Here is an 11,277-nt window from a genome sequence, read left to right on the forward strand (position 1 = left end):
TTAAAGTAGTTTTTTCCAATTCTGTGAAGAAAGTCATTGGTAGCTTGATGGGGATGACATTGAGCCAAGATGGCTGAATAGGAACAGTTCTGGGTCTACAGCTCCCAGCCTCAGTGACGCAGAAGACGGGTGATTTCTGCATTTCCATCTGAGGTACTGGGTTCATCTCACTAGGGACTGCCAGACAGTGGGTGCAGGTCAGTGAGTGCATGCACCGTGCGTGAGCCGAAGCAGGGCAAGGCATTGCCTCACTCGGGAAGCGCAAGGGGTCAGGGAGTTCCCTTTCCTAGTCAAAGAAAGTGGTGACAGATGGCACCTGGAAAAATTGGGTCACTCCCACCCGAATACTGCGCTTTTCTGATGGGCTTAAAAAACGGCGCACCAGATTATATCCTGCACCTGGCTCAGAGGGTCCTACGCCCACGGAGTCTTGCTGATTGCTAGCACAGCAGTCTGAGATCAAACTGCAAGGCGGCAGCGAGGCTGTGGGAGGGGCGCCCGCCATTGCCCAGGCTTGCTGAGGTAAACAAAGCAGCAGGGAAGCTCGAACTGGGTGGAGCCCACCACACCTCAGGAGGCCTGCCTGCCTCTGTAGGCTCCACCTCTGGGGGCAGGGCACAGACAAACAAAAAGACAGCAGTAACCTCTGCAGATTTAAATGTCCCTGTCTGACAGCTTTGAAGAGAGCAGTGGTTCTCCCAGCTCGCAGCTGGAGATCTGAGAACGGGTAGACTACCTCCTCAAGTGGGTCCCTGACCCCTGACCCCCAAGCAGCCTAACTGGGAGGCACCCCCCAGCACTGACACCTCACACGGCTGGGTACTCCAACAGACCTGCAGCTGAGGGTCCTGTCTGTTAAAAGGAAAACTAACAAACAGAAAGGACATCCACACCAAAAACCCATCTGTACATCACCATCATCAAAGACCAAAAGTAGACAAAACCACAAAGATAGGGAAAAAACAGAGCAGAAAAACTGGAAACTCTAAAAAGCAGAGCGCCTCTCCTCCTCCAAAGGAACGCAGTTCCTCACCAGCAACGGAACAAAGCTGGACGGAGAATGACTTTGACGAGCTGAGAGAAGAAGGCTTCAGACGATCAAATTACTCCGAGCTAGGGGAGGACATTCAAACCAAAGGCAAAGAAGTTGAAAACTTTGAAAAAAATTTAGAAGAATGTATAACTAGTATAACCAATACAGAGAAGTGCTTAAAGGAGCTGATGGAGCTGAAAACCAAGGCTCCAGAACTACGTGAAGAATGCGGAAGCCTCAGGAGCAGATGCAATCAACTGGAAGAAAGGGTAAAATTGTTTTTCTTTTAGTCATCTTAGCATACCTGTAGTTACATCCATGATATTTTGCATATGAAAGCCTATCTCTAAATTAAAATATAGTTTTATTAAATTATCAGACTTTCATGTAAAAGTCCATCCTTAGTCTCTTCATGGAGCCCTTTTGTCGAGCTGAAAGGAATTTTGGCATGTTGCTTAATTAGTTGGTTTCAACGAGGATATGAAAGCTATTCTCTGGATTTTGTCTAAATCAAAGACTGAGTCCTAATTGGACTTGTCACTCAAAACATTTCTTATCTTTTACAAGTTGGACATGAAAAATACTTACATCTTAATCCTGCAAGTCCGATAATTTCTGTTTTTTTCTCTTTTAATTCTTCTAAACTGGCCAGTGCTTTTCTGAGCTCATCTTTTTCTTGTAGCACTTTTTGTCGCTCTAGTAAATGTAGCTAATTAGTGGTTGGGGGAGAGAGTGATATGTTAGTAACATCACCAGGAGCCTGTTTGCTTTATCAATTGCCTTTTAGGTACTTGCAGCAAATAGTTTTACCAAATGGTTTGTTACTGCATTTTATTCAACCATTAATAATAAATCCCTTGCTGCCTGGAGCCTGCCTCCAAAACCAAAGCCACATAATTTAATAAAAGCTTTCTATTTATAAGTAATGATTACTTTATTACTTAGCTCTTGCTGGGCTAAGTTGTGATATCAAGAGACATGAAAGTCTCTAAATCATAATGATGAAAACAAAAAGATTCTCTTGATTTTCTCCTTACATGGTGGTAACAAGTAGTCTACTGTTCTGTTCAATGTCCTGTTTAATCCAGAACCCACAGTAAAGAGGCAGCCTTGTTTGACTACACAGTGGCCTCATGGCAGAGGGAAGAGAGCTGTAGCAACCATTAAATGGATCTTTCATCTTTTACTCAGAATTTGCAAAAACTTTAAATCATGTTCCATTAGCCCAGGTGTTATGGACTAAATTTTGTCCTCCCAAAATTCACATGCTGAAGCATATAACAGCCCATGTGAGTGTATTCAAAGATACAGCCTTTAAGGAGGCAATTAAGGTGAAATGTGGTCATTAAGGTGGGGCCCTAATCCAATAGGACTAGTGTTCTTTGGTTGTTTTATTTTTTTTATTTTTTATTTTTTTGAGACAGAGTCTGGGTCTGTCGGTCCAGGCTGGAGTACAGTGGCGCGATCTCGGCTCACTGCAAGCTCCGCCTCTTAGGTTCACGCCATTCTCCTGCCTCAGCCCCCTGAGCAGCTGGGACTACAGGCACCTGCCACCACGACCGGCAAATTTTTTGTATTTTTAGTAGAGACGGGGTTTCACCCTGGTCTCGATCTCCTGACCTCATGATCCGCCCGCCTCAGCCTCCCAAAGTGCTGGGATTACAGGCATCAGCCACCACACCCAGCCAGGACTAGTGTCCTTTTAAGAAGAAAGCAAGAGACACCAGGGATGTGTGCACCCAGAAAAAAGGCCATGCAAGGACACAAAAAGAAGGTAACCATCTGCAAGCCAAGGACATAGGCCTTGGGAGAAAACAACCCTACAGGCACTTTGATCCCAGGCTTCCAACCTCCAGAACTGTGAGAAATCAATGTTGTTTTAGCCTCCTAGTCTACAGTAGTTTCTTATTACAGCACAAGCTGACAAATGCACCAACAAAGTCACATCCTCAACCCTGACAGTAGCGGTGTGAAGTATATTCCTCCCACAGAGAAGCAGTGGGTGTTACATGGTATTAGCAAGGAATATATGAGCTGCTTTGATGAGGACAGCAATAATTTTGAATAATAATCTCACCTAGCATGGATATTTTGCTGGCTAAGAGTGAAGAGATATAAAAATAATTTTAAACTTGGTTCCAGTTTTCACTTGACCTAGTATTTTAATTGTAATCAGCAATTATTATCTAGACTGGTATAACACACATCCAAATTCCTAAAATCTGTAAGCTTTTTGATGGAATAAAAAACACGAAAACAAAACAGACTCCAAAAACACCTGAAAATATAACTGTAATTATTCAAAAGCAAAATTATTAAAGATATACTTCAAGTGTATATTTTTTGACATGGGCCATTAGTTGTGAAAATGTTAAGTTGTATAATAGGTGTGTCTTTGGACTCATGCGTGAAGCCTCCAATATCAAAAAGTCTTGTATCGTACATTCATATTTTAACAATTAATACATTGTCCCATATAAGTTAACATAGATATATGAATATTCACCAATCATGAGCCCTGTTCTTCATAATGTTTAATCTTGAAGGAGAGACAGAGGTGGAAACATACTTCCAATTATGAACATTGACTAATAAAAACAGAGACTTAAGGTTAAGATAGTAGATCTCCAGAGATGGTAGAAATGGATATTTTAAGAAAAGGGTAATAAACCCTAAAATAAATCTCAAAACTTTTTTCATTAATTTAAGTAGAAGAAATAGGATATTGTTAGCTACTTACTCATCTTAGAAATTCTTGCATGGTTTAATTGGCCCTGCATATACATGGAGTGATAGGTGGTAGTTCCCTCCCTCCTGCTCCGAATTAGGGGGCCAGAATACCACTTCCCTTCTTTTCTTACAGCCTTACTGGCATTACATTGTGTTTTGATGATAGCTGGTTTAAGGCAAAAGACATAAAGGGAATACTAATGGTCTACACTTACGTGGTTTGAAGAAATCATATATTGCTGTATATTAAAGGTATCAATGTAAATATAATTATGTCCTTTTGCTACATCAAAACTTGACTGTAACATTGAGGGCTATGGTTTTAAAACTGGTTATGTGAGCCGAAATGCATGGTTCTTGAAATTATTTCCACATTCCCTGAGGTTTAGTAGAAGCTTCAAATTTCCTACTGTTTCTCCAACTGAACTTCAGTGCTTATCTAAGGTCCATGTTAAAGTAGCAAAACCTTTCTTTTGAAAAAAAAAAAAAAAAAAAAAGATATCCATAGCTAAAGTGTAGTTGGAAACCTCCATGAAATTCTTTACCTTCACATACCATATTTTTATGTTGTTTCCTCTTTATAAAAATTTAAAACAATCTTGAAGCATTTTGTTGACTTTATTATGTTTTCTTTGCCCAGATGCTTTCTTCAGTCTACAACTCCCACATTTTACATAACACTACTTATCACATTGTACATTTATTTTCTTAGCAGTATGTAGAACAAAATTTCACAACTGGCCAGGAAACAAGGGCACAGGGAGAACTGGGGCAAATATAATATTTCGGAGTGTACCTCGGTGAGATAGAAATGTATCTAATTGATATAGACAAGGTCTAGATAATAAGAAAGAAGCAGGTGTCTCTTTCATGCACAATCCTCCACTAAAATCACTGGAAAGGGTTAAATTTTGAGACAGAAGAGACAACCCTAAAACTTCAGGATCTCGGCTTACTCTTGGTCATTGCTCATGTTCTACCAGACATTGTCCCAAACAGCTAAAAGTGTAAGCCTTGATCTCTGTGGTATTTTGTAACTTCAAAGCAAAGGAGCTCAGAGATGGAAAACTGAGGCTCAAAGAAGCCAGGACAACATGGTATCAGAAAAGAGGAACCCTTAAAATACCAATTGATCTTTCCTCCTACCTTTAAGTTGAATGGCTCATAAATTATCTCATATGTCTCTACATCTTACAAGAAACAAAACTATATGGTTGCATGGTCCTCTGACTAAAATTCCCATTAGAAATCTACAGACAAAAATCTCTTCTTCATGTCTCTCATATTAAGTCTAAGCTACATGTGACTTCAGTGAAGATGGCAAATAGCTGTTCCTCTTCCTTAAGCTCACCGTATATTTAACAAAAACTCTATTAAATAGCCCTTCCTCTCTCTTCTTTAACCTGCAATCAAATTATATTTTATCATTATTTTAGGTTGGCATTTATCTTACACAACTAGCCTCTTTTTCTGTTGTGTGTCTTTTTACAAGGAGTTTTGTAGGTCATAATGTGAGTCACTGCAACATGAAGATAAATTGTTCGGAGTAGGGAAAAAATAGAAAAAAAACGGGATTGACGAAGAGGAAAGGAAATTGGTCAGGTTAGCTAATGACCCAAGAATGTGAGAACATATATTTACTGATTTTTTTTTCTTCTTTCTGCATCTATAAAGTATCTCCATTTAACAACCTCCTGGGCTTACATATGTGTAACAAGAAAAAAATATTTGAAGAATACTTTACTGTCCCTAATTATCAATTTTGCCCTGGCAACCATCTACTGAAACTAATAATAAAAAGAACCATGATTTGTTTCTCCTACAGTTAGCTGAATTTAGTTAAATTAAAAATAAAGTGTTATTGACATTAGCTTCAGAAGATAAAGATCCAAAGCTGACTTGAGCAGTGAGTTAACCAGAAAGTGATTAAATTCTGTGAATAATATGATGGACCTTATGTCTGAAGATTTTTATATTGACTCTTCTTATGGGCCTTGTTTTAAAAGATCCCAGAACAAATATCTAACAATAATCTAAGGCAATGGCTAATGGAAATGCTACTTTTACAGCTCGAGGGTAACATATTTGTTTAAGAAATAGGTGTGCTAGCCTTCCCTGAGACTCTTTCCATAATTGAGTTGATCAATTGTATTTGTACTATAAATGATGATGTCTGGATAATGATTACTGACCCATATGCAGCTCCCAAACCACAGCAAACTTTGAAAATTCAATTACAAGTCCAGATGCTGTATACTGCATATGTAAACTGTTTCAGGAAGGAAGATTGCATATTAATAACTTAGTCTATGTGGGTTATCTCTGCAAGCTAGTGGATATTTTGCAGAAATAGTTCTTGGGGAAAGCAAAAGGTATACAGACACTAGACTGTTTCAAGTTTATTTCAACCTACAGCTACATTACAAGTTTACTCTTACAATTAGTATTTGTTTCAATTATTAAAATCTCTCCATTTTAAAAAATTACTTATTTGATTAATATCTTTCAAAGATAAAAATAAATCTGAAGTATCAAGCTGTGTATTCTTGATACCACAGAATATTATGTCATTTTTATGTGCTCAAACTGACTTCCTTCTGATTGTATAGAGTACAGAATAGCAACTGATATTTTTTGGAAAAGTGTAAAAACCAACACTTTGGTAAAAGAAGACCACCACCAACCAAAATCTATATCTAGTAGTAGAAACGTACAATTTTTAAAAAAATATTAGCATTTATTAAGTTTTACTGCTTATTATAGTTATTAATTCAATTTAACTATTTACCAATCATGTATTTTCTAGGCACCTCCTAGGAACCAGGATCTGTACTTGGTGTCCCAGTGATAAAGTAAAACAGCCTGTCCTTCCTGCACTCAAGGAGACAGCTCCATAAGTGGGGAGCTTTTTGAAAATGCAGAATTTGGGGAACTATTCACAGATATTTCTATTAAGTTACATTGAAAAAAGCCTGGGACTAGCTATGATCTCCTGTCTGGTGATTTGGATGTGATAGTCTCAAACATATTTTGAAATATACTTGCCCAAAGAATGGAGAAAGACCCAGCCAGCCCTCCTCATGTGGCTGCTGAGGTAGATATATGTATAATAAAAAAACTGCCAAAAACAAAGTCTCCTGTTCTTCTTTTTCTCATTTATTTTTTTCTACCACTTCAGTTCACATCTTATTTTCTTCCATTTAATAGTTTTCTGCTGTTAGACAAGACAACAGGAAATTTGGATGCTTCATTCCACACCAAATGAATCAGGACCTCCAGGTGAAAAAAAAAAAAAGTGGAGATCTGCTTTTTCTTTCTTCTTTTCATTAATCTCTATTTGGAGAAACACTGGTCTTGGAAATGAATTGACAAGTAACATGACCTTAGACAAATCAATTAAGTTTCTTGACCCCTGACTTTTTTTCATCTGTATAATGCTATTTTTACTAAGAATTTATTAATGTCCTTCCAGCTCTGATATTTTCTTATTGATTCTAATTACATTTCAGCTTTGTTCATTGTCTTTTTGATACAAATTCCTTTGATGGGAATCTCTTTAAACAAAAATTTTGAGATTTTAAAAAATTTTAATCTTTGATAACTTCTACATTTTTCATCCTCCTTATTTTAAATTTATTTTCTCTTGTTTACCACTAGCTAATCTTCAAGTCTTGAAGTCAGCTCAGATTGGAAAATATATGAAAGCCCAGTTCTTGTTTCTTTCCTATTTGCATTTGCTTTTTATAGAAATCTGGAAAAATTAACAAATTATAAAATGGTTTGTAATAATTATTTCAAATATCTTTTCTAGGGTTTCTAATTGCTTTTCATTCATTGGAGATGACAGTTCCAAATATATTCACCTTTGTAAATGAAGAGGATAGAATTTTAATCAGACGAATGAGAAAATAAAAGTGCTATGATTAGAAAAACTTGAGGATTATTCTAACCAGCAAGCGAAGATCTCTTAAAATCTTCAGAGGAATTGCAGAATTAAAAAAAATATATGTGGCAAGAACTCGATTGGATAGATAAATACAGGTAATAGATATCTTTGAGGTAAAATAGAACCTCAATTTAAATAGATTAATGTAAGAATTTTAAAAATGCTGATGAACTTGATATATTACAATAATCCTTTCTGGGCTGAAGGAAATAGGAATAAATAGGAGCAAGCCACAGTGAAAAAAACATACAATCTGTCTCACTGGGTGAGAGGGTTGTCCTGAAAACATCCGACGTCTGGAATGCCCTTGTCTCCAAGTATGCAAGTCCTCCAAACACCCTGAGGCTAATATAATGCCAACAAGTAAATGGACTTTGTTTATATACATGGGAACTTTTTAAGAAATCAAAACATTAAAATTCTTGAAAGCAGTATGACTGATCAATAACTAAATCTATCCATAACTGAGAATTTGCACAACCTGGGCAACAAGCATTTTCCAGGAATAAATTGCTGTTCATCCATAGTGTGTAAATGACTCTTCCAAAACAGTTTTAAGAGATGTCACCATTTTATCTTATTTTTTTTCTTCCTGTTCCATCTTCCACTGTCTCAAACTCTCTTTACTTCGTTCCTCAGGAACAGCTTTCATCTGCTCTTATTTCCTTTAAATATGTGATAATCTTTGCTCTTTGACTCTATTTTCCTAAGGTATGGTTGTTCTAATTAATTTTACCTCAGCTGACATTAGGAGCATTGTAAAAATTAATAACAATCTTACACAAGAATCTTTCTTAATACTATGAAATGTAATCAGGTTTACCATTTTTATAAATGTCTTTGTTTAGAGTAAAACAGGTGATGATATGGCTTTATCATCAAAGGATTCATCTCAATGCTAACCTAAAAAGAGAGGAAATTAGTTCTGATATAGGATCCAAACACAATTAAGCATTTTAACTCATGCATATAACAATCTCTTTATCTCAGTCAACTGCTACTCTTCTGTTATACAATGAATTTCCTTCTTTCAATTATTTTCTAAGCAGCATTCTATTTTTGGCATAAAATATTGATTTCTGTAAACAAAAATTCATGAACGTACAACATAAGCATGAAGACTTTAGATTTATGTATGATTTCTGAGCAGGGGCTGTTAATTTTGGTTGACTTTGAGAGAACATTTGAATTGATAAGTATTAACTATTTTTAAATCAGTAGAGACTGAGTTATATACATATAGATGTGTATATGCATATGTATGTATGTATTTTTCTTCTTTTTTTTAAATAATAGGAGTAATGGGGCAAGATAAACTCGTATAGACTAAAGAAAATAAACTTGTATAGACTAAAGAAAATAAGTTGGCACATTTGAATTGTAGTATACAAAAGTACAACCTATTATAAATGTATATATGTATTAAGTATGATGAGTAATTACTCCTGTAATAACTATGTCTCCGAAAATCCTTCCTGGAAAATTGTTTCCTCCTAAATGTGCTGCTGCAATTAACTTGTATTTTCCTATTGAAACACACACTATTGCAATATGCTATGTTGCTTCCTTGCTTGAGTACACGTTATTTGAGTAAACTTTGTGACAGCAGGGAGGGACCACACCTCTCTTTTTCTCATTCTTTTTTCTCCAACACCTTGTCTAATATATGAACAGAGTTTTGGCTTCATAAATACCTATTGAAATAAATGAGAGGCATATTTTAGGCCCTTGTCTTTCCTGCGACGTCATGCTCAACCTCAATGCCAGTAATCTGGTTCATTATTTTTTGTTATCTTTTTTTCTAACAGTGGAATAAGTGTTGCAGTGATTTTATATTATTATGTCCTATGTTATTGACCCTGACACTTCCATTGGATACCTTAACACCATCTGTTCTATGCATCACTGCAGAGAAAGGTTGATAAAAGATTGATACCTGTCATCTTAGGAAGTCATCTGTGCACTAGTTAAAGCAATTATAGGTGGGATGACAGTCTCTGAAAAATGTCCATTTTCCTTTTGTAAAGTAATTCTGTTGTTTATGTCATGTCTCCATTGATGAGCCCATTGTCTCTCAAACTATTCACTTGCCACTTTCTAATTTTATAATCTCCACACCTTTGGAATTTGCCAATACAACAGAGCAGTAGACAATTTTCTTGGACTTCATGCTTGATCTGCTTCAATCTATACTATTTGTTATAAACCTTCATGACTGACAGATCAGACCTATCATCTTGGATCCTCTGTAGTGGCATAATTTTGTCTTTGACAGATTATAACTTAAAATTGCTGAGAATACTCTGTCAACTTTAAAATGTATCTGTAATATTTACAAGTATATCATTCGTCTTAAGTACTACAAAATACCTTCCCCTTATGAGAGTCAGTTAACTATTTTTAACTAGTTGCATTAAAAAGTGAAAACTATTTTTCATTTCTAAATATGCTATTCTCTTCTAAGTAAATTAGGATAAAGTACTTTCTATTGAAAATCAAACTTATAAATCTCTTATCTTCAAACTTACTATATACTTGTGAGTTTTTTATGTTAGGGAGTGCTTGAGTACAATGGGAGATCAATATAAAACCTCATTTAAGAAACATTTTTGCATCTAAAATCATGCCTAATAGAAAGCTGAGGCAGTAGAACTGGTGAGCGTTCCTGATAAAATTCTTCTTTATGAGTAAAAAAAGTTCAAGACAAATGTATTATGAATCTGATTTTTTTCATATTTGTACCAAAATAAAGAATGTTACATTATGAAGTCATGGGTGGTTTTTACTGAGAGTGTTAAATTGTGGAGAACTAGTTATTTTCTCATAAGCCTTTTTTGTCTGTGGTTACTCTTCAGTTGCAATTGATGTCCTTAATGGCAGAGGAAACATCCATATCCACCATATCAGTCACATTCCAAGTAGCTGACTGTTGAATGCCTGGTGCATTAAGTAAGAGCCATCGGCCAAGAATGTTGAGAAAATTAAAGGGTTGTTAGAATAGAAAGAAAAAAGCTGAAAAAATATGGTTAGTGAGAAATGCTGTACAGTATCATCCTTTAAATTTGACAGAAAAGTTGATTTCATCGAGAGCAGAAGAGAGGTTACAGTGTCATTTTTAACATAAGTTGAATATGTACTTAATTTTTAGTAGGAATGGTATATTTTCTGAATTTGTAGATAACGTTTTTATTTAATCAGTTTCTACAGCCTTTCACCTTTCTTATGATCTACTTTATTATGACTATCTATAAATATTTACCATTTATTATCTTGTATATCTTCTTTTAAATTTTCTTACATGGATCTCTTCGAGTGAAGCGACCAGACAGTAGACACTTTTTATGAGTAGCTGTGATATGGGAGTGCTGGGAAGTGAAGGGCATGGTCCCTTTAAATGATACGGAAGTGGGGAAGGGAAGTGCTGGGTAAAGGAGGGCATGGTCCCTGGCTAGGGTTTCACCTGCCTTCTGCCCAAATGTTGCATTTCCTAAGACCACCCTTGGCCGCTATGCCTGCATCCTGTGTCTATAAAAATCTCTGAGACCCTAGCAGGCAGACACACAAGCGG

The 11,277-nt window shown here is 36.2% G+C and overlaps 1 long non-coding RNA gene across 1 annotated transcript; it reads left to right on the forward strand.

Moving 5' to 3' along the window:
• Positions 1 to 656: 656 nt before the first annotated feature.
• On the forward strand, positions 657 to 10,473 carry LOC105375301 (uncharacterized). Its single transcript, XR_927307.2, has 3 exons — positions 657 to 1,302; positions 6,971 to 7,042; positions 7,575 to 10,473. It is a non-coding gene; the product is annotated as an uncharacterized LOC105375301 (long non-coding RNA).
• The last annotated feature ends 804 nt before the right edge of the window (positions 10,474 to 11,277 follow it).

The sequence above is a fragment of the Homo sapiens genome, chromosome 7 (assembly GCF_000001405.40).
Source record: "Homo sapiens chromosome 7, GRCh38.p14 Primary Assembly".
Taxonomy (NCBI): Eukaryota; Metazoa; Chordata; class Mammalia; order Primates; family Hominidae; genus Homo; species Homo sapiens.